The following is a 24,134-nucleotide window of genomic DNA, read 5'->3' as shown; positions in this document are numbered from 1 at the left end:
GCTAATTTCACACAAATTACATTGAACCTCAGCCTCGGCAGGATCTTAAACACAGACTCACTGAAATCCAATTAACCTTCGATAAAGGTCCAGCAATCAATAGTTGTTCTGTGGCTTGGGGAGGCGCCACCCAGCCCGGGAAAGAGGACTCCTGCACGACCTTTACTTTTAATGAGATCAATGACAGTCATTGTCGCCAGCTCTTAAAGTGACTGGCAAATATGATCACCAGGTCAGGCCCTTGGTAATATCTGCTTCTGGGCTCACAGACACAAACAAATGAGGGCCCCTGCAGGCTGCTGGCTCCCGAGGCCCGTGCTTGCTGGCAGGTGGGCACCCCTGGGCAGGGCTGTCTCGGGCCTGGAGGTGCAGATCAGCAGGGTGAGCGCAGATGGCACTTCTGGCAAGGCCTGAGCCCCTGGCTTCATGTTTCAGTATGGGGAGTCCTGAACTTCAGTGAGTGTCTGAACCGCCTGGACAGTCTGTTGAAATGCAGATTCTTGCAAACTTCTACAATCCTTTCCACCCCGGATTTGGATTAGTGAGTTTGGAGTAGGGCCCAGGAATCTGCATTGTTAAATAAGCTCCCCTGGTGATTCCTTTTTTTCCCCTATAGTGATTCTAAAAGAGATGGTTGGTGAACAAGTCTTAGCTCCCACCAAGCTGAAGAATCAATGTTCTTGGTTAGAGCCTAGCTAGTTCCACACCTTCAATAAGCATACTGAGGACCAGAGAGAGGATGTGATTTGCCTAAGGTTATACAGCAAGCTACCAGCAGGACAGAGATTGAACCTATCCCTCTTGCCTGCTAAACTGTTGTTTCCCTATCCAAGTCTATTGGGCCGAGTGGGACTGGGATGCTGTAGGGTGAGGAGGCCTCTTCAAAGCGGAGTGAGGCTGATACAACAAGTGGTTGGGGGCTCTGGAGCCATCCCCACCCACCTCAAGAGGGGTCCCTTCTACAGCCATCTTCCAGGATAGACATCTGCTTATAGCAGCTAAGATGCCACTAATCACACTACACCCTAGGATTCAGAGTAAGACTTTCGCCCCTGTCACTCCTATCTAGCCCTTGTACCTCCCTCCCCAAGGAATGCTCACAGCCAGGCTGCCCTCAGGAGGGAGTCACTCCAGGGCTGGCTCGCTGAGTACCACAGTCCTAAGGAGACTTTAGAACCTCAGGAGTCTATCTGAAACTTTCAGGATTGTGGACTCTTTCATTACACACACACACACACACACACACACACACACACACACACACACGCTCCTCCGTAGTCTTCAAGGCCGTGGCTTTGATGTTAGTTGGTAAGAGACATGATAGATTAATTTATTCAGAGTAAGGCCTGTCCCTAATCTACTCCCAACACTACTGATGGTAAGTGACAGTACTTAGAGCACCATAGTGGCCCATAGCCCACTGTGGGGGTTTCTGCGGAAGTATTTAATAACATCATCTCAGACTGCCAAAGAGCTACCAAGTCATGCAAAGCCTAAAAGCCAGGGACTGGGGATTAAGAAATTAACATAGTGTGGCATTACAAGGATAGACCAATGAAACAAAATAGATTCCAGAAGAGCCCCACATTGATGACAAAGACGTCAGATCCCAAAACTGTATGATTCCATTTATGTGAAGTTCAATAATGGGTGCAGGTCATCTATGGTGGCAGAACTCAAAAGAGCATTAGCTCCGGGAGGGACGTGAGAGAGCTCGCCAGGGAGCTAGAAATGACTTGCAACTTTATCTGGACAGTGATTACATATTATATTCACATGGAAACTTACTGAGGTATACAATTAAAATTTGTGACCTCAGGTAAGTTATCTTCCCTCTCTGAGTCTCTGATTCTTCATCTGCAAATCTGAGACAATAAGACCTCCCTCATAAGTTGATAATGCAGAAAGCTCCTGGTACACAGAGCCAGGCAGTCAGTAAACATTAATGGTTTAAAAAAAAAAAAAAAGAAAGCTGGGGAGGTAGAAGAGAAAAAAATAGCCCAATGACAACAACAACAACATTCATCTCACTATCATTTTGGGGAACTTACTTAGCACACGCCAGGCACTGTGCAAAGCATTGTTTGTGCATTAACTCACACAGTCCTCACAAAATCACTTACTTAGAGATGGGTACGATAAAACAGAAAAATGTTTCTATGAAGTGATCCTTGATGTAAGCCAGAGAGAGAGGTGTTACATTCAGACACTGCCTTGGTGCAGAGCAATGCTTCTCAGATGGTGCTCCAGCTCCTCTGAGTAGTTAGTTACCAAGTGGCTCCAGGTTCCAGCAGCCCAAGGTATTGGGTTGGTGCAAAAAGAATTGTGGTTTTTGCAATGGCCCAAAATAAAAAACAAAACACACATTTACCTTTGCACCAACCTATAGATCCCTGGCAGGGAAATGGAGAAGGTAGAGGGGCAAGGACTTTGGAGTCATGCAGACCTGAGTTCAAACCCTGGTTCTACCCCTGCTAGCTGTGTGATACGGGGCAAGTTGTTTAACCTCTCTGAGCATTTGCTTTCTCATCTGTAAATAGGGTTAATAATATATACTGTATAGGAGAGCTGTAATGAGTAGAGATTATGTGTGTCATATGCCTGGCACATATTAGTTGCTTATAATTATTATTAGTTATTGTTTTTCCCCAAATAACTCTGATATCAGCTTGCCCCATTCTGCATGTCCACAAGAAAACAACCAACACTCTCCCCTAGGCCTGCCTGGTAGAGGCCAATCTAGGGTGTGAGGCTGGTTTGTTTACCCATTCACTAATTTAAGAATGTCTACCAAGGATCTGCTCTGCACAGACCACTGGCTTTATCTACAAGGTATCAAAAGAGCGGGGAGGCAGAAGCAGATGAGACCAGTCCTCAGAGGGTACGCCCTGCCCAGCTCCTACTGCCCAGCTCCAGCCTAGCTGCCCCCTCCGGCCAGGCACAGCACTCAGCCATAAGCAAACAACTACCCAGAGCGCACCTTTCTGTGTTTGCATTTGTTTGGAAAATCAACGTTGCCTCTGATTAAACACCATTACGGCTCTGGGCTCACTGGATCCAAAGAGATTAATGGACTTGAGGGTGTTGCTGGAATGAAAATGCCTCCACAGCTGGTAGTAAGTAAATGCCAGGAACCTGGCGGGGATGAGGCCTCTGGGATATTTCCTGATCAGCAGGCGACAGACCCTGTTTCCCTTTAAGGCCGTTCAGGAAAGGCCAGAGGTGGCCTCCCATCCCATCGAATCCCTTCGCCACTGGAACCAAAGACTGTATTCTGCTTGAACACCTCCCATGTACCACCCTAGAAGCCACCAGTGAAGGCAGCAGAGTCAGAAGCCCTGACTTGTGTTACTGGCCAAGTGACCTCAGGAAAGACATTTGCTCCCTCTCAGAACTTTTCACCCCATCTGTAAAATAGAAGGATGAACTCTTTTTCTCATCCCTTTCCCTCCAAGCAGCAGAACTCTTCCAGAAAAGTCCAATAGGCAGCTCACGCATTGGCAAAGCTGCCCTGGGTAAAACAGAGTGGTATCTGTTTCAGTGTAGCCTGCCCATATCCCACACACCCCAAGGCCCTTGAATGGGTTATTGAAGCACTGTTCCCTAAGTCAGGGGACAACAGCTTTCCTAGAAGGCCTGAGCCAGCCACAGAGAAACGTTCCCACCATGCTCCTGGCAGCAGCTCTGTGCACTTTGATGCGGCCCCTCCTTTGTGGCCTAACAGGAAGAGTGAAATCAGGGAGACTCAGGTCTCAATCCCACCTCTGCTAAGCTGTGTGACCTTCTCTCTCTGAGACTCTGATTCTTTGTCTGCAAAATGGAGACAATGAGACCACCCTCATAAGTTTATTATGGAGAAAAGGGCCTGGCACAGGGAAGTTAGGCATGCAATAAATGCTAATGGTAAAAGGAGAAAGAAAGAACAGAGCCCAAAGATAATATAAGGAAATCAACAACCACCACCCAGCTACTCTTCTGGAATGCTAGCCACACACCAGGCACTGTGCTTAGCACTGTTTGCACCCTAACTCACATAGTCTTCACAGCCCCTCTTAGAGGCAGATACTGACCCCATTTACAGCAGTCACATGGCCACCAGGAGGCCTGTGCAACCACCACACTCCCCTGCCACCCCCCTGGGCTCATCTGCTGAGCCAAGGTATGGCTTTCTCCTGTGGGCCAACTCCCCATTGGGACCACATGCTCACGCTCATCTTCATGCACTGCCTGTGGACATGGGGAGTGGAATAGAAAAGAGCATTCACAGCCAGGCGCGGTGGCTCACGCCTGTAATCCCAGCACTTTGGGAGATCGAGGCAGGCGGATCACCCGAGGTCAGGAGTTCAAGACCAGCCTGACCAATATGGAGAAACCCTGTCTCTACTAAAAATACAAAATTAGCCAGGCATGGTAGCGCATGCCTGTAATCCCAGCTACTTGGGAGGCTGAGGCAGGAGAATCACTTGAACCCAGGAGGCGGAGGTTGCAGTGAGCCAAGATTGCGCCATTGCACTCCAGCCTAGGCAACAAGAGCAAAACTCCGTCTCAGGGAAAAAAAAAAAAAAAAAAAAAGCATTTACCTCCACTGGGCGTGGCCCACTTCCTTCCTTCCATCCCAGAGGGCAGAACATGTTGCTGCACTCCCCAAAACCCTGAAGTGACTCCACAGTGCCTCAAGGTCACACCCAAGACCATTACTTTATCTCCCCACACACCCCAAGGAATCCTGCCCCAGCCCTGCCAAACTTCACCCATTCCCTTCCCCTTCTTGCAAAGCCACTCCCTGGAAAACTCCTACTCATCCTGCTGGGGACACCAACCTGTGGCAGGCCTCAGTGCCTCTTCCTCACTCTCCCTGGGGTTCTCCTCACACCCTCTCGCTGCCTGAGATACAGCAAGGATTTAGATGTGTGTCTGACTCTGATGCTAAGCTCTGGGGACTAGGTCTGGTCCCCCTGCGAGCCCCCATACCTAGCATATAGCAGACACTATTAAAATGATCAATGTTGAGCCTGGCCACGTGGCTCACACCTGTAATGCCAGCACTTTGAGAGGCCAAAGTGGGAGGACTGCTTGAGCCCAGGAGTTCCAGATTACAGTGAACTATGATTGTGCCACTGCACGCCAGTCTAGGCAACAGAGCAAGACCCCATCTCTAAAAACATAAAAATGAAATTATGAATGTTGTTGAAAAAGTACAACTCCACCCATTCCTGTGGGACCCTGTGCAACCAAGAAGCAGAAAGTGAGGGACAGGTCCTACCCACTGGCCAGTATTCCCTGGGACAAGGGGGATGGGAGGGGGGACACACAAAGCCCACCTCTTTTTTCCTGCTCTAGGAGGCTGATGCAGTTGGTTGCTGCTGTCCCCTTTTTGCCTGATCCCTTGAGATCTGGGAAGTGGGAAGGAGAGAGAAGGGCAGGAAGAGGGAAGAGACAACAGACAGGCCCCACAGAGCCAAAAGGATTAAGTCCCACTGATTTTGCATCATTGTTCTCTGTGGCCGCTTAGCTTTGTGGGGCTCAGATGGTACAAAGGAAAAGCAGGTAATGGCAGAAGGGGTTCAGCATGTCCCTGCAGGCCGCTGTGTGCACAGGGCTGGCCTAAATGACCTGAAAGAATCTTTCTTGCTCAAAGTTTATAATTCTCCAGACAATGGGCCCTATTAAAGACAAGGGGGCCAGACTCTGAGGCCTCACCTGGACACACAGGCACTTCCTGGGCAGCCTTGACCAAGCCCACGTTCCCCGGCACAGCAGCCCTGAGCTCTTGACCTCACCTCATTGACGTCGATCTTGTTCCTCTCCATGTAGTCTCTGTCATTGACCTGCCCGCCATCCACAAACTCCATCAGGAGGACCCGCTCCGTGGACAGGTCCCAGTGGATTCGGGGGACCTGGGATAGGAAGGGACAGGTCAGATGGTCTGGGGAAGCTGGGAATCGGGCAAGGATGACAATGTGGCACAGCGAGCCAGACAGCAACAGAGGCTCCTCCCAGAGCAAGGGAGAAGAGGCCCAGGAGGGACCTCAGCGGTGACAGTGGGGATGGGACAGCCAGGCCAAGAGGGAGGCTGGCTACTCCACCTCTGCTCAGCAGGCCTCCGCCCACTCCTTTAGATACCGGCTTTGCCAACTCTCCTCAGTGCCTTCTAATGCTGTTAAGAGCCAAAACTAAAGTTGGGACTTGGGAGGAAAATGTTGGAACACCTCACACCTGGGCATTGCTGTTAAGGATATTTCCTCTCCCCATCCCGCCACCAGGCCTACTTCGGACTCCTCCCTCTGCCTCCAATATTTCACCCAGGTAATGGGTGCATTGTGTGTATTGAGCAAATGACTGAGTTTTAACCAGATGATAAATTTTGTTTCTCATGCCTGTTTCCTGTAGGAAAACACGTTTCCTGGGGCAGACAACATTGGATATTAACCCAACATCTATTCCCAACCCTCCTCTTCCCTAGAGATGAAAAAAACTAAATACTGGGGCCAGGCGGAGTGGCTCACACCTATAATCCCAGCACTTTGGGAGGCTGGGGCAGGTGGATTGCTTGAGCTCAGAAGTTCAAGACCAGCCTGGGCAACGTGGCGAAACCCTGTCTCTACAGTAAATACAAAAATTAGCCAGGCATAGTGGTGCGTGCCTGTGATCCCAGCTTGGGAGGCTAAGGTGGGAGGATCGCTGTCAAAGCCAGTGTGCTGTGACCTTATACATCACACCACTGCACTCCAGCCTGGGCAACAGAGCAAGATCCTGTCTGAAAACAAACAAACAAATAAAAAACCTAAATACTTTCCTTGCCTGCTTTATAGTAGGTATGGCCATGTGACATAGTTCTGACTTATGAACAAAAATGGAAACCTGCTAGGGGATTCTGGGAAGGTTTTTATTTCCTTGATTTAAAAAAAAGGGGGTATTTGCATAGTGCTACTCTTCTTCCACTTCTCTTCTTGCCTCGAAAGTGAATGTGAATGTGACTGTTGGTGCTGTAGCAGCCATCTTGCAACAATGAGGAAAAATAAAAAAATTTAAAAATCTGAGAAGCCAGCTCTGGTACTGTTAAACCACCAAAACCATATGTCAGTAGGCAACCACTGCAAACCTTCTTGCTATGTGAAGACAACAAATTCTTTTGTTTAAGGCACTCTAAATGAGGCTTTCAGTTGCCTACAGACAAATGCATTACTAACATACACTCTCCAACCCTCTCTGACTCTCATAACACTCAAAAACCAAAAAGAGAACAGATTTCTCCAGGAGCGGGCAAGAGACTAGAATGCAACCAGGCTGCCATGTGAGCAAGGGACACCCACCAGTACCCCCACAGCCAGGAGGGAGGGGTTACTGGGCTTCCAGCATGCCGAGTTTCCCCCAAATTGTGAGGAGTTTATTTCCTCTTACAAATAAAGAAACATGGGCAGCTTTTTCAAATGTTTTGGAGAGTAAGATTTTCCTTTACCCTGACCACCCAAATTCATCTAGCAATAACATAGTGGCCCTCAAGTCAACAGACCTATTTCCTGTTCCTAATTCTGCTAATACTGTTGTGTCTTAGACTAGCCACTTAACTTCTTTACATCCCAGTCTTCCTCACTGGAAAGCAGAATTGTTTCTGCCCTATCTCAGTAAGGACCTCTGAGGATAAATGGGGGCTGTACATACAAGTGAAATGCTCTAGTTGGAACAAAGTTTCCACCAGAAAGCAAGGTGTTATTTTGGTTTGCTGCTTGACTGCGGTTTCTGCCATTTGAAAATCTGGGCCAATAGAGAAATCTGTGAAACTGATACTTTGAACTTAAAATTTAGACTTGCTTGGCATTTTTCAAAAAGTTTCTTTTTAAAAAAGTGAGTGCATGTTTGCTATTGTTGCTTTGTCGGTTTCTTTAGAGACAGGGTCTCATTCTGTCACCCAGGCTGGAATGCTGTGGCATCATCATAGCGCACTGCAGCCTCGAACTCCTGGACTCAAGAGATCCTCCTGCCTCAGCCTCTCAAAGTGCTGGGATTACAGGCGTGAGCCACCGTGCCCTGCCTGTTGTTTTTGTTCATGGCTTCCAAATGAATGGGACATATTTTCGGGTTAAATTCTTCCCTTGGGTTTGTTTGTAAACCTACCTTTGACAGTGGGCCCCTAAGGCTCTGGAGACAAGAGGTCAAATCTCTAGCCAGCCCCACCAGAGGCAGCTTAAAAAACAGCGAGGGGCTGGGCGCAGTGGCTCACGCCTGTAATCCCAGCACTTTGAGAGGCCAAGGAGGGCAGATCACTGAGGCTGAGGAAAGAGAATCGCTAGAACCTGGGAGACGGAGGTTGCAGTGGGTGAAGAATACGCCACTGTACTCCAGCCACGGTGACAGAGGGAGTGAGATTCCATCTCAAAAAAAAAAAAAAAAAAAACCAGCTAGGAAAGAGTCACAGGTGGAAACAGAAATCCCACAGGCTGGAGCTTCTCTGTGCTTGTGCATCAGGGTCCTGGGTGTACTGCGGTTTCCCCCTTTTTGGTCTCCCTGCAAACATCACCATTCCAGTCTAACCACAGAATGTGCCCCTTGCTTCTGCTGCTTAAATCTGAAATGACTAAAATATCAAACCTGGGAAACAGTGGAATTTGTCATGGGAGCTTCAGAACCACAGGTGCCCCTGGACAGACATAACATGGAAATGACTGCAAAATGCCAAACTGCTCCTGCTCAGTTAAAAAAGTGAGCTGCGCCTAAATCACCAGATGGGCAGGAGGACCTGGGGGTGTGGGGTGAAGTGAGCGCCCACATTTCCTGTCCTATGCTTCTTCCATCAAAGAAGGAAAAAATGAAAAAGAGAAATTTGAAAGAGTCAATAAGCACCCCGCACTCCCCCATCCCACCCCCAAACAAAGCAAGCTGAAACTCTAAGGAGCTCATGGCCAGGGTGCTCAGCGGCCCCACCAGCAGGGTCACACCCTGACCATTAGGACCCCTGGGTCCAGGTTCTACCTCTTTGCCACAGAGCAGAGGCCTCCCTCCTGTGGGCTCCTCCTGCCTCCCACACGGATGCCAATCTGGACCCCAAGAAGGAGGGCACCAATTAGAGAAGTTTTAGCCCAAGACCCTGGGCCTCAGCCTCACAGTCTGGCCCTGACCTCACATTTCTGCTTTGTTTCTATGCTTTGGTCAACATGCCCACGAAACAGGCTGCGCCTGGCTTGTCTGAGACAGTGCCCATCACCCTAGGCCCACAGTCCTCCTGGAGCCTGAGTCCAGCACAGCAGAAGGCCTGGAGACATGCAGTCAGACCGGCAGATTTGGAGTCAGGCTGCTGGCTGGAGCCCCGGCTCTGCCACCTAAAAGCTGTGTGACTGTGGGTAAGTTATATAACCTCTCTGAACACCAGTTTCTCCACCAAAAATATGGTGATAATGGTTACAGTGGAAGCACAACCCCACCTCCGCCCCCATTTCCCACTACTATGAGCAGAGTACTGGCACTCAACATGGAACCAGACACTAGCAGCTGCTGGAAAAAACATCGATTGCTCTTAGGACAGCCACATCGAGTTTCACAGAGGGCTCTGATACACACCAGGGCTGAGAGTTATGCTCTAGACGGTTCACTGGAATTCACAACTTCCCCACAGAGCAAAACCATATGGAGGGTGAACATGCAGGCTCTGGAGCAGGCTACCTCTATTCCCTCCCCTTAGTGGTAAGCCTTGTGACCCTGCCCAAAGGGTTGATAGCTCTGAGCCTCAGTCTCCCAACTGATGATATGGGGGTGATTATGGCACCTCCCTTGTGAGGCTGTTGTAAGAATTAAAGAATTAAAGAATATAAATCACTCTGCAAAAAAGAAGTTATATATTAATTACTATCCATCTGTAGTTCCTAATCTTTGAGATTCATGGGAAGTTATCATACTTCCCAAAAAGCATGCACATCTCCTCAGGGTTTGTCCACAATTTCTAGAGTCCTGGGCTCCTTACCTCACACTAAGGAACCCTGGCATGGCCCTGCACACCTATCCCCACCTCCACACATACAGAAATGGTCTCATCACTTCCAGTCCCAAACCCTGTGGTTATAAAGCTTCTCCCCTGCCACCTTGTCCCCAGGTGAGTCACAAACCCTACCACTTGTCCTGTTTCCATCCCCTGGCACATACGCTCTGCTGCCAGATCCACTAAGCCTGGCCTTAATCATTCAGCCTAGCTGCCCCCTCACCCTCTCCCAGTCCCCCTGACGCCATATTTGCATTCAGTGCTTGTCTGAGCCTGGGAGATTTATAGCACAGGGCTGAGGTTCTTAAACCGCACATAAGCACCGGAAGATGCCTCACACACTGAGAGGTAAAGTCTTTGCGGAGGCTTAATTATGCACAGATGTTGTGATCGGGAGCCAGTGTGCAAAAGCAGTCTATCTCCAGTTTTAAGAGCTGAACTGGGTTCACAGTGCAAAATTCACTTCCCCCTTGTTATGTGTTTAGGCAAAATTAATTACTCAAGAGCCTTAATTCCACCACTGTCTTAGGAAGGGTGTGCAAGTTTTGGAAACAGCAGGTCAAATTGGTATATTCATTATTTACCCATTTGGCATCTTCATTTGAAAAATGTGTGTTATTGTTATTATTGCATGTCTTGGTCTGGCACTTGCCAGTTGGCCCCAGCCAGGGGACAATTTTGCTGTTTCCATGGGAACAGTAGAGGAGATGGTTCTGTCTGGCTCATAGTTCTGGCTCTGAGGGGCACCCCTGCCGGTAAATGGCAGCAGAGTATCCTGAGAGGAGCACCACACTTGAAGTCAGAAAATCTGGGATGTTGCCCTAGCTCCTCTACTCAAACTGTCCTCTGCAATATGGGCTGATGCCTGCTGGAAGGACTCAACACCATAGTACCTGCAGACTGTTCAATGCAGCAGCTCCTGATGAAGAAGAAATAATCAATATATATTGCCTATAGTCAATACTTCTTAGAAGCACTCACCAGAGCCCTTTATCCTGGGTAGAATTACGTACTTCCTCTTGGGAATCCACAGAAACACAGATGAATGCCTGTCATGGTGCTAACAAACCTGCACTGCAACAACACATTGCTGTGTCTGTCCCTCCACTAGATGAGAAGTTTTCCAGAGCAGGGACAAACCTCAGCTCCCAGCACAGCAACAAGCTTGGGAATAAAAGAAATGGAATAAGCAAGTAGAAGCATGTATTAGACTCTATAGCATTATGCTAATTAGTTAACATTATCACTTGTCTCAAAGAGCCAAGTTTTCACTGAACTGGTGGTTTGAGCTCCAAGGCTGGGGCAGTGACACCAGATCTAGGCTGCACTCCTGGATTTACACACACAAGAGGGTCTGTACATCCACACCGACAATGGCAGCCAACAAAATGCCAGTCAAGCATACTGGGAGTATGGAGACGTACCCAACCCTCACCACACACAAAGAGCTAAACTTCATGGGTTCTATCTTCCACCACAGTCAATGTGTCAATACACTGCACTGATCAACACAGCTGCGGTTCTTCCTCCTGCGGATTCTCAAGTGGTTAGAATAGACACATCTTCAGTCATTCCATCCCTGTTAGTCAATCAGGAGAGCAAAAATATAGACACTTCCTCCATTTCTCATGATGTCTTCAAAAGCCAAAAGGACACCTTAGGGAAGAATGAGAGAGTCCCTTTTCCCTGATCCAATGTTCTGAGCCATCCTCCCCAAGAACAGCACAGCTTGACTGTTGGCTCTAGAACCTGCACATGGAGCTCCTGAGGGCTTGGTGACCCCTCTCGTGCATTCTCCAGGCCTGGTAAAGAAGAGGGAAGGGTGATCCATCCTAGAGTTGGAAGCTAAGCTCAGTGTAGACAACCAGAAGAGCCCTCCAAGCCCTGCACTGTTGGGATAAAGGGGGTAACCCTGTTTTAATAGGCATACACCTCAGGAAGGACAAATGTGTTGGAAGAACAGTGGTGTAGCATACATCTCTCTCCCCAGTTCCTGTGTGCTCTGAGAGAACACCAGGATGGTCCTTAAAGACCAGCTCCGGCCGGCCGCGGTGGCTCACGCCTATAATCCCAGCACTTTGGGAGGCCGAGGCAGGCGGATCATTTGAGGTCAGGAGTTTGAGACCAGCCTGGCCAAAATGGCAAAACCGTGTCTCTACTAAAAATACAAAAATTAGCCAGGTGTGGTGGCACACACCTGTAGTCCTAGCTACTCAGGAGGCTGAGGCAGGAGAATCGCCTGAACCCGGGAGGTGGAGGTTGCAGTGAGCAGAGATTGCACCACTACGCACCAGCCTGGGTGACAGAGTGAGACTCTGACTCAGAAAAATCATAATAATAAAATAATTAATTAAAAAAAAAAAAAAAGGACCAGCTCCAGGGCCAGGAGCAGTGGCTCACACCTGTAATCTCAGCACTTTGGGAGGCCAAAGTGGGCAAATCATTTGAGGTCGGGAGTTCAAGACTAGCCTGACAACATGGTGAAACCCCATCTCTACTAAAAAAAAAAATACAAATATTAGTAAGGCATGGTGGCACATGCCTATGATCCCAGCTACTTGGGAGACTGAGACAGGAGAATTACTTGAACCCAGGAGGCGGAGACTGCAGTGAGCTGAGATCGCGCCACTGCACTCCAGTCTGGGCAACAGAGCGAGACTCTGTCTCAAAAAAAAAAAAAAAAAGAACACCAACTCTAGTGCCAACTTCTCAGCAGAGCCTGCCCTGACCCAGTAGGCCATGGGAGTCCCTACTTCTGAATCCTCAGAGCATGTAGAAGCCGTACTTCTCATGGGGCACTGACAGCTGCGACTTCATATTATCTGATATTGTTTCCCACATTAAGTGTCTCTTATTACATAGAACAGTTCTGCTATAATACTTGTTTTGAAAACACAAATTTGTTCCAATGCAATTGATATGTTAGGGAATAGTTTGATCATAATGCAAATTTTGGATGTGCTTATGTGTACTATCATCTGCGAGAAACACTGTGAATGCAGAAAGCTGCATCCAGCAGAGCCGTGCCACATTGGAATACACAAAACAAACACACCTCGACATCGCTGCGAGTCGGTGAGTCACCCACATCTGGCCTTACAACTTTCTGTCCCATTTCTTTTTTGTTGTTGTTGTTGTTCCTTGAGACGCAGTCTCGCTCTGTTGCCCAGGCTGCAATGCAATGGCATGATCTCAGCTCACTACAACGTCTGCCTCCTGGGTCCAAGCGATTCTCCTGTCTCAGCCTCCCGAGTAGCTGAGATTACAGGAGTGCACCACCATGCCCAGCTACTTTTTGTATTTTTAGTAGAGACAGGGTTTCACCATGTTGGCCAGGCTGGTCTTGAACTCCTTCCCTCAAGTGATCTGCCCACCTCCGCCTCCCAAAGAACTGCGATTACTGCCATCAGCCACCATGCCCAGCCTCCGTCCCATTTCAAAGGACTCCTCCCACCACCCCACAAAACTAACAAGCAGCAACCCTTCTGATGCCCACTTCCACAGCAGGCTCAAGGTAAAGTGCCATGTGTATTGTGGTCTTATGTATTTCTTAGCCATTTAACATGTGTAAAACTATGCTACTGGTTTTTATTCATTCCTATCTTCTTTTCTTTCCTATATTACTGTATTACTGATGAATTTTCTTTTTTTTTTTTTTTGAGACGGAGTTTCACTCTTGTTGCCCAGACCTGAATGCAGTGGCGTGATCTCAGCTCACTGCAATCTCCACCTCCCGGGTTCAAGTGATTCTCTTGCTTCAGCCTCCCAAACAGCTGAGATTACAGGCACATGCCACCACGCCAGGCTAATTTTTATATTTTTAGTAGAGACGAGGTTTCACCATGTTGGCCAGGCTGGTCTCGAACTCCTGACCTCAGGTGATCCACCTGCCTCAGCCTCCCAAAGTGCTGGGATTACAGGTGTGAGCCACTGTGCCCAGCCACTGATGAATTTTTTTGAGTGTTGTGCCCCTAACTCTATTTTCCCCATAAGCTCTGTGGTTTCTCTTATGTGATTTTCCATAACTGCAGTATTTCTAGGGACACATATGTTTTGTTACAGAAGAACCAACTGTATGAGCCAAGGTAAAACACATGTGTTTAAAACAGTCCCAGCGTACAGTAGTGTTAGCTATCAGCATCGCCATCATCATCACCATCCCATGCCTCACAGAGGCAGAGACCACGGCATATAGGTTCTTGGCTAAGGCTCAGTGTCTTGTAGTTGTCGATTATTCAATAAACATCTGTTTAATTGACTAATGGGTCAACAATCACACTTGATATTTCTTTGCAAATTGCCTTCAAGTGATTTAATGCACATCACCAGTGATGTCATTCATCCTCAGTAAGAGGACTCAGGAAGAAGATGTCCCAATTATGTCCTGAAAGGGATGCTCAAGGCAGGGACCCACATACCGCTACACTCTTCCACCAGACCACCATACCCTGCATTGCATCGTCCCACCTACCTTCAAGAAGTCAAAATGCCTGAGCATCTGGGACACCTTCTCAGCATTCCTCCCTTCATTGAGGAAATCCAGCTCCAAAGGCAGGTTCTTCTTGGCTTCATCCACAAGCCACATAAACTCAAACTCTGGGAACAGCTGCTTCACAGCCAGAACGAGCACCTGAAATCCAACAAGCACCCCAGTCATTTGGCCCACAGCATATACCAAGGGACATTCCCTACCTTCCTGCCTGGTTCTCCCCTAGAGTAAGGGAAACTGCTCCCCTGGGGCCCATCCCTCCTCTGAATTCCAGGAGGGAAACATAGTAGGCTCCTGCTCTCCCATAAGCTTGGTACTCTGCACCAAGTCCAAGATGATGATAGCCCAACAGCCAGCATCGGTAACCATGACTACCACTTGCTGAGGGTTCCCCTCGTGCCCAGCACTAACTAAGCACTTATTTTTTATTTTATTTTATTTTTTAAGTTCTGGGATATGTGTGTAGGATGTGCAGGCTTGTTTCATAGGTAAACGTGTGTCATGGTGGTTTACTGCACCTATCAACCCATCACCTAGGTATTAAGCCTGGCATGCATTAGCTCTTTTTCCTAATGCTCTCCCCCACCCCCCAACCGTCGCCCAACAGGCCCCAGGTGTGTTGTTCCCCTCCCTGTGTCCATGTGTTCTCATTGTTCAGTTCCCACTTATAAGTGAGAACAAGCGGTCTTTGGGTTTTTTTGTTCCTGCATTAGTTTGCTGAGGATAATGGCTCCCAGCTTCATCCATGACCCTGCAAAGGACATGATCTCATTCCTTTTTATGGTTGCATAGTATTCCATGGTGTATATCTACCACATTTTCTTTATCCAGTCTCCCATTGATGGGCATTTGGGTTGATTCCACATCTTTGCTACTGCGAATAGTAAACTAAGCACTTTACTTACTACTAAACTTAATCCTTGCAACAACTCTGGGAGGCACACAGATACACATCTTATCATCCCTTTTCTGTTGTTTAGACAAGATGTCACTCTGTAGCCCAGACTGGAATGCAGTGGCGTGATCAATCACAGTTCACTGCAACCTTGACCTCCAAGGCTCAAGTGATCCTCCCACCTCAGCCTCCTGAGTGGCTGGGATTACAGATATGCATCACCATGCCCAGCTAATTTTTTTAATTTTTTTGTAGAGACAGAGTCTCACTGTGTTGCCCAGGTTGGTCTCAAGCTCCTGTCCTCAAGCAGTCCTCCTGCCTCAGCCTACCAAAGTGCTATCCCATTTTATAGATGAGGAATTTGAGGCTCTGAGGGGTTATATGATTTTCAAAAAATCTGCCCAGCAAGGAAGTACCGAGCTAGAATTCCCCCTGGGAATTCCACAGCCAACTCTACAGCCCTTGCTCTGAAACACTTAGCTCAACTGCTGCTGTGGCTGCTCCCCGATCTGTTCTGGTCTGTTCACAAAGCACTGGGAGGGTGCTGCAAATGTAACTGTCATTACTTTATTTCTTAAGTTGAATGTTTGGTGCTTGAACATTTATAATACTATTTTCTATACTTTCTGTACGTCTAAAATGTTTCATAATAAAAAACTAAATTGGAATAAGAAAACAAAGCTGGATAAGACGAGAGGAGACAGAGAGAAGGAATTTGACCACTTGGATGAAAAGCTTTGATTTTTGGCAATTTGACTCCACTGTGGATTCTTGAGTGATGACATGTTAAGAGGGGGTTTTAGAAGATGTATCTGGCATTCAGGGGTCAGTTTAATGATGTGAAATTAAAGAAGAGCCCAGTGATCTGTGCACAGCATACCACAGCCCCTGCCATGAGCAGAGACACAATCCTAAGGCTGCCCCACCACCAGGGCCCTGGATTTGAGATGGGTGCCCAAGTTCCTGGATGATGGCTCTGTAGTGGGTGAGCAAGGGTGATACCAGGGACATAGGAGGTGTTCCAGAATTCTGGGAGGGAAACAGAAGGGCCCTGACCTCCCATAAGCTCTCCTGCTGGCATTCGAAGCCAGGCCTGGGGAGAACATTGACTGATTGACCCAGTAATTCTTAGTATAAATGACAGTCCGAGTTATCTGAGAACAACCATCTCTAACCCTGGCTATAGCAGATGGCAATAAGAACTAACAAGCTGTGGGCCTGTTGGTACCAAAAGACCTTCCCCTTCCCATCTTTCCAGAAAGACTTACTGAGCCCCAGATAAAAGCCTTGTCTCATGCTTCTTTTTGCCCTGTTCTATGATATTTTGCCCAATGCTGTGTTGGCAAAAGAAATCAATCTAAAGCCAGACTATTAACTACAAGGCATTTACAGCTTTGTTTTCAAGCCCTATGTCCTGGGTGATGTACCAGACGCCATTCCAAAAAGAATCATCGCACCGTGTTATCATGCTCAATTTCTACCAAAACTTCTTTTAATTACATTTGGCTGTAGTTTAATTTCTTTTGAGTTTTGTCTGGTCTTTCATGGGCTAGACCTGTGACCTTATGATAATTGATTTAGTTTATGTTTTGTTTGTATCAAGCAAGACTAGAAGGGAGAGGGGGCAACAGAGAGGCCTGGACTGTATGCCTCAAGCCCTGGCACCTGGGCACCGCAGCCTCCAGACATCAAATCTCGTCACAGTGCCCTCAGATGGCCCTTGGCAGCAACCAGAGCAGATGCAGAGCAAGTGAACGGGAAACAGAAGTGATTCCCCCAGGCCCAGGCGGAGGCCAGCCATGCCATCTAAGTCACCTGAATTCCACTTTTCTGGGCTTGGAATGCAGGCAAGAAAAGCTATCCAGCATTTTGCTCCAATCTCAACTCCAGAGGGTCTCGCCCGAGAGGGGCAAGGAAAGGGGCCACAATGAGGCTCTCTCATTTGTCCAATCAATATTTACTGATTACCCTCCAGGTAATTACCATAGGCCAGACGTGGATATGCACAGAGAGCTACCTGTAGCCCAGTGAGGTCTCTACTTGGGGGTGAAGCTTCTGGCCAAACAGTAATTCCTCATCATTTATTGTATGGTCACTGTTTTTTGTGGAATTTTTAATTATCATTGATATCCAAGCAGCACTGAAAGGCACATTAAAGATTTTCCAGTTACTAATCAATTACATAATTAGTCATTATTAATACTATTCATTATTATTAACACTTGGTAATACCTGACATCATTAATCATAAGCAGTCTATTATATTAACTAATATTAATTGCTAGTAACTAATTAGTAAGCTAATTCATAACACAGAAAACTTTACAGTGCTCATCGAACTGGTTTCTAAGGCATCCTGTGGGTTGTGGGTCACTTCCTTGGTTACTTAAAATGAAGGGGGTTCTTTGAATAGAAGTCAGTGGTTCTCAGATTTATGGAATGTCACCATCCCCTTTATAGGAGGTCACCAATTTTAAAACTTGATACCCGCTACGAAGCCCAGAAAATGAACATACATAATTTTGCACATAATTCAAGGGGTTCACCAACCCCTTGAAATTCAGTGGGTGGGGAGGGGGTCAGGTTAAGAGTCGTCGGGTTCAAGTAGTTCGGGCTGCTGCCATTTTAGACTTTTCTTGGCTGAAGAAAGTAAAATAAAACTCAGTTTCACCGTCTGGTTTCATTCAACTCCCTTCTTAAATGAATCTACTTAGCCCACCTTAAGCAGATTCATTTCAATTTTTCTTTTTGACAACACATGCAATCAACTAAAATAAAACAGGTGTTGTTATCAATTTGACTTTTTGATTTTTCTCCCAAAATGCATCTTCTCCATAAAATTCTTCTAACAGCCAATGTTTTCACCAGTGCCTACCACCTACTCAACACTCCACAGATGTTTATTGAATACTCACATGAATGAATGAATGAGTAAATGAATGAACAAATGAATATTTCAAAGAGTTTGTCTGCTTCTCTGAGATAATTATATGTTCACATGTGTTATCCAAAGAAAATGAGTTTTTCTATTTCTGAGGTTTTAGTGGAAAGAGCCATAACTTCTGAATTTGGGGGAATCGTAATTTCAGAATGCCTGAGAATTCTCTACTTGATCTAGAACCTTATGAATCAATCAAGGTATATTTAAAAATTAATACTTCCTTCAAGGTAAAATAATAAGACTATCTTCCTATCGGGTCATTGGCTTGCAGGAGGAAAAATCAATCATGGGCCACACAGAAATGTAATGGAAAAAATGAAGAGTCACACATAAGTTTGAAAACTAGTCAATGGGCCAAGCGTGGTAGCTCACGCCTGTAATCCCACCACTTTGGGAGGCCAAGACGGACAGATCACTTGAGATCAGGAGTTCAAGACCAGCCTGGCCAACATGGGGAAACCCCATCTCTACTAAAAATATAAAAATTAGCCAGGTGTAGTGGCATGTGCCTGTAATCTCAGCTACTCAGGAGGCTGAAGCAGGAGAATTGCTTGAACCCAGGAGGCAGAGGTTGCAGTGAGCCTAGGTCATGCCACTGTACTCCAGCCTGGGCGGCAATAAATAGAGTGAGACTCCATCTAAAAAAAAAAAAAAAAAAAAAAAAAAAACAAGAAAAGAAAAGAAAAAGAAATAAAACGACTGACTGTTATTTACAATAGCAAAAGAGAAGGGGAATTATCATTATTTAGTTCCTACTACATGCCAGGCACTGTGCTACGAACACTTTACACATACACTTTCATTTAATCCTTTTCTTGCCAATTTTACATAGTAGAAAACAGGAATTGTCAAAACAAACTCTGACCTGGGCTTTTCTTGTTCGTTCTTTATGCAGCCCTGCCTCGTGCAACACAACACAACGACACAGGACAATACAATAGGAAGCTCAAGATAAGGCAGAGGAGCTTTGTAAACTGTAAAATGCAACTAGAAATGCAAGTTACTGTTATCAAGTTACTGTACATTATAAAAGAAATAATGTTCCATGGGAAAACAGCACACTAAATAGAATGCCTGTACCGATCCAAACTGGTAAAAATGAACGTTCAACAAGGATCGAAAATCAGTTCAGAGTGATGTACATAGCTTGCCATTCACGGGGTTTATCTTTGTTCTGATAAGTTATTAAAGTACACGCTTTTTAGAAAACAGATTTATAGGGTGAAGAGAAGTTTCCTTGGGTGGCCCACATCTCTGGATATTTTTTAATATATATTTTAAAAAATAAAATCGCTGTTGGATTCTGTGCCGACATAAACATTGCCTAGCCACCCACTGTTCAAACAACACATTTAGTAAAGAAACAAGATGAGGCTGGACGCGGTGGCTCACGCCTGTAATCCCAGCACTTTGGGAGGCCGAGGCAGACAGATCACCTGAGGTCAGGGTTTAAGACCAGCCTGGCCAACAAGGCAAAACCCCGTCTCTACTAAAAATACAAAAATTAGCCAGGCGTGGTGGCAGATACCTGTAATCCCAGCTACTTGGGAGGCTGAGGTAGGAGAATCACTCGAACCCAGGCAGTGGAGGTTGCAGTGAGCCAAGGTCGCACCACTGCACTCCAGCTTGGGCAACAGAGTGAGACTCTGTCAAAAAAAAAAAAAAAAGGAAGGAAGGAAGGGAAGAAACAAGATGGTAGACAGAATGCACTGAAAATGCTGCTCAGAAAAGGTCAAAAACATGACTGCCATGGGTTTTCACTTTTTGAGACCCTTGGGATGGGCCAGATGACATCAAGCAATAGATCAGATTTAGTGCTCAGGCCAAAGAGTCCCACCCCAACATAGCCGAGCACCTTGGGGCCCAGTAGTGCATGAAGGGCATAGTACTTGGCAATGAGTTAGATTCCTTAGGGTGAGAGGGCAAGGGAGTGTTCCTCATCAATTCAGAAGCTGGAGAAATAACTGGGAGTGATACAGGGTGATTAGGACCTGGAGATTATGGTAGTCCCCCAGCTCAGGGATCATCTGAGTCCTACCCTGCCCTCAAGCAGTGAGAATGGCAGTGAGATATGGCCCGCTAAGCTCCCCAATATTGTGGGTAGAAAAGAACTGCTGCAAAGCCAGCCCGCCAGCAGACGGATGGACTATGCTTCATCAGTTCACCCCCTCCTGCTGAATCATTGTTCCAATCTCTGGGCCCAATTAGTCTGGCTCTGGACAGCCATTCAAATCAATAAGAGTCACTGGCCGTGCATCTAGAAGTAGAGTTGCCCCAACTATTAAAGGGACAATATCAGGTGATAATGACAAAGCTGAAAAAACATCCCTGGCTCTGCCTTTTTCTTTTGTGCAAAGTCATCGACACCATCAGATTCACTGAACACCATTTACTGAGAATCAGCCTCCCTTCCCTGCCATCCTTCAACAGTCTATCCTAGAGGCTCTCTCCCCTCTCCAAGGGAGAAGGTTCACAGGAGACACAAAACTGCCAGGTTCAGAGTAGACACAAAACTCTAGGGTAGTACATGCTATTGGAGGCCAAACCAACAGCCATCTCCCCCATCATCCTGGCTAACACAACCCCAAGTTTGTACATCCTTCATGTCCTTCAAGGATAGCAGGTCTGAGAAGGTGAGTCATGATTGGTTTAAGCCAATCAAGGTGGTCTCAGTTTTCTTGCCAAGACTGATTTGGGAGTGGGCATTACTTCTGGACAATAACAAATGAAGGGAACTCTGCTAGGGATCTCTTTTTTTTTTTTTTTCTGATAAAGAATATGAGGATGTCCCCTACTTGTAACACCAGGAACTGTTGCAGCTGTGTTGGGACTACGTGCGGTGCTCGCTCAGGAGGGCGAGCCAGGAAGCTGAGATAGCAGAGTGAAACATGGAAAGAGTCTGAGTCATTACAAACAATGAGGTGCTGGGCTGTCAGCCTTGGAACAGCTGACCCAAGTTCCAGACATCTTCACATGTGAGATAATAAGGGTTAGTATTAGCTATACCACTTTCAGTTGGATTTTCTGATTCTTAGAGCCAACTGAAAGCATCCCACCTGACACAACCAGTAGTCACCACCCCCTTGCTCTCAAAAGTCTCACCCCTGTAGACCTCTATCACCCTGTAAATGCACAGTAGTTATGAGTTTGGGTGTAGAAGGTCACCTCTTAAGATGCAAATATAAAGAGGTTAAGCCTATCAGTCACTCTCTTTACTGTGAACTGCTTTCATCAGATTGCTTTCCTCTTAAGACCAGGCTGTGATCAATTATGGGGCAGAGGAGAGTGTACAACAGTGGGAGAGAAGCATAAGGGCACACCACACCTGGAGTTGGCATGAAAGGAGACGTAGAGGCTATGCAGAAAAGTAGCTTTTCCTCCTCTCTGTCCCTAAGTTTCTGGTAGCCCTAAATGTCCCCTAGAAATCACTCTTCAAGCCAAAAATGCTTAATACCTTTCTTGGATTGTCATTCCTAAATATAAGACACCATTTAGGTCTCAACACAGAAAAACAAAATATTCACTTCAAGTACGAGCTTTCCAGTTGGGCCCTTCTTGGTTTTGTACCAGAGAAAGACCCAGGCAGGACTTTTCCCACCAGAGACGAAGCCCAGTGAGATGGCAGTGTTACCCAGTGCTGCTGCTAATCCTGATGATCCATGGGGTGGTGGCCTCAGGCCTCCATTCCAGCTGTTCTCCTGAAGGGTATGAGTGCGGGTCTCAGGTTTGCCTTGTGGTCCCAGCCCCAGAACTGCCTCAGCCACTACTAAGGAGCCACTCTGTACTCTGCACACAGCCTGCCAGGCTGTGCTTCCCAAGAAAAGCATGTGATGCTTATCTCAGGGAGGAAGATGCCAAATCTTTATTACTGCTATTATTGCTCTGACCTTACAGCAACCATTACTTAGGGAGCCAGCAAGAAAACGCAAAGAAAAAGCGACAGCTGTCCTCACTGTCCAAGTGGGCCCTGATGGCTTTACTACGCAGAGGCAGCTTCCTGCCTGACTCAGGAGTGGCTTCTGGGATTCAGGAAACCCTGGGATCCTCCAAGTCTCCCAGGTCTCTCCCAGCTATGGCTGCTCCACAGCTGCTGACAGGTGTGCTAGAAAAATCAGGTTTGTAGGCGGATGCTCAGGGCCACCCAGCAATCCTGCTCTCCTGCCCTGGTCAGCTCCCTTCCACTGCACACAGTAGCTGTTCCAAACCTTCACCCACCTCGAGTCTCCAATGCTACCTTCTACCCCCTCATTCTCAGCAGATGGTCTTGCCTCCCACTTCAGAGAAAAAATAGAGGCTATCAGGCTGCTACACACTCTGCTGCCCACTTTCCCTCCCCCTCTCCTCTGCCCCACACACTCATCTGTACCCAGCCTTCCCACCTTCCACTGGGCTCGAAACAAAGGCTAAGGTTTCCACCTGTGTTCTTCATTCCCAGTCGCTTGAATCTCCCTTAGGACTTGATCTAGCAATTACTTCTCTCTGCTGAATCCCCAACCTGCCCCCTTCCCCATCAGCTACGATTCCACTGAAGTCTCCTCAGTATTTAATCCTATGCTCTGCTCTGACCACTACCCTAACTCTCCCAAACCTTCCACAGCTAAATATCTGAAAACAGTACATTCTCCATGAAGAGTCTCCACTTTCTTGAGTCTCAATTCTTTTTCACCCCGATCAGGCCACTGTAGCTGCTCTTTCTAACCACCCTAAATCGCCAGATCCAAAATACCCTTTCCAGTGCTTTACTGATTTGATCTCCCATATGACAACGTTGAGGAATTCTGGCAGACTATGTTTTCCAAAACGGCTGCAACAGTACCTCCCATTCTAATTCACTTCTAGAACCTTGCCACTCTCCCATTAAGAGGTAGAGTCTATTTCCCCAACCCTGAACTTAACTAAGGGGGCCTTTGTGACTGCTTCATCCAAAAGAGTAAGAAAGAAGTAATCCTATGTAGTTTCCAAGGCTGAGTCATAAAACTGTGATGTACTTTCAGCCTTATTCTCTTGGGCCACTTGCTCTTAGAACCCAGCCGCCATGCTGTGAGGAAGACCAAGCAGCCATGTAGAGGCTGATATGGAGAGGAACTAAGGCCCTGGCCCACAGCCCCAGTTAAGCTCCCAGACAACAGCTAGCACCAACTTGCCAGCCAGGAAATGAGCCACTCCAGCCCCCAGTCAAGCTACTCCAGCTAGAGCTGCATAAAACAGATGAGTTTCTCTACCAAGCCCCGGCCAAACTGCGAATTCATGAGCAAAACACATGACTGTTGTTTTAAGCTCACTGTGTTTTGAGGTGACTCATTATGCAGCATTAGATAACTAATATAGTGCTTTCATCTTTAACTTTTCTCCACTGAATATAGCAGCATTGCTCAATCCTGGTTTTCCTCCAATCTCTCTGACCATGCTTTCTTAGTCCCATTCATGAACTTATCCTCTTGGGCTCACCCCCCAATGTTTTGCACAGTTTTTTTTCCTTGCCTTCTTTCTTCTTCTTCTGTTTTTTTTTTTTTTTTTTAACTCTATATACCTTCTCTAGTGATCTTAACTACTCCACCACATTCATCTATCAAAAGTATCTTTACTCATACATGCTGAATTTGTATTCCAGCCTGGATTCCAGACCAACAGGGATATCCCTATCCAAAACTGCCAAGAGCACTATTTTACCCTATTTGGTTGCTGCATTGACCATTTCACTTTGTTCTGAGAGGCATCCCGATCCCCTTACTCTTATAAGAACTTCCATTTCCCAGGCTCCCTTGCCAACTTGCTGCCAGCTAGGTTTTGCCCAGAGGCAACACTGAGGGATACTGGCATACTGGGGGGGCAAGAGGAG

General features: G+C 46.9%; 1 protein-coding gene across 15 annotated transcripts in view, besides 1 other annotated feature; it reads right to left on the bottom strand.

The window, feature by feature from the left end:
* The window catches only part of ADCK1 (aarF domain containing kinase 1), a 134,906-nt gene that overhangs the window by 21,315 nt on the left and 89,457 nt on the right, over nt 1-24,134 (bottom strand). For 8 of the 15 annotated variants that reach the window (NM_001366490.2, NM_020421.4, NM_001366486.2 and 5 more), the window contains 2 exons: nt 14,442-14,600; nt 5,781-5,897 (listed from right to left, as the gene is read on the bottom strand). In NM_001366490.2, coding sequence (NP_001353419.1) covers nt 5,781-5,897; nt 14,442-14,600 — 276 coding nt within the window. Of the gene's footprint in view, nt 1-5,321; nt 5,898-13,025; nt 13,142-14,441; nt 14,601-24,134 lie in introns of those variants that run through there. The other 7 variants (NR_158989.2, NR_158987.2, NR_158988.2 and 4 more) reach the window with 4 other exon arrangements.
* Nucleotides 333-848: an enhancer, noted in NCBI's record as "H3K4me1 hESC enhancer chr14:78379195-78379710 (GRCh37/hg19 assembly coordinates)". NCBI's record gives its function as "activates a minimal SCP1, AML or CMV promoter by ChIP-STARR-seq in primed H9 embryonic stem cells {active_cell/tissue: H9 hESC(primed)}" and the evidence as "EXISTENCE:reporter gene assay evidence [ECO:0000049][PMID:30033119]".

The sequence above is a fragment of the Homo sapiens genome, chromosome 14, assembly GCF_000001405.40.
Source record: "Homo sapiens chromosome 14, GRCh38.p14 Primary Assembly".
Lineage (NCBI taxonomy): Eukaryota > Metazoa > Chordata > Mammalia > Primates > Hominidae > Homo > Homo sapiens.
Note: the sequence above shows the minus strand (reverse complement) of the source record. Positions and strands in the feature narration are given on the sequence as shown.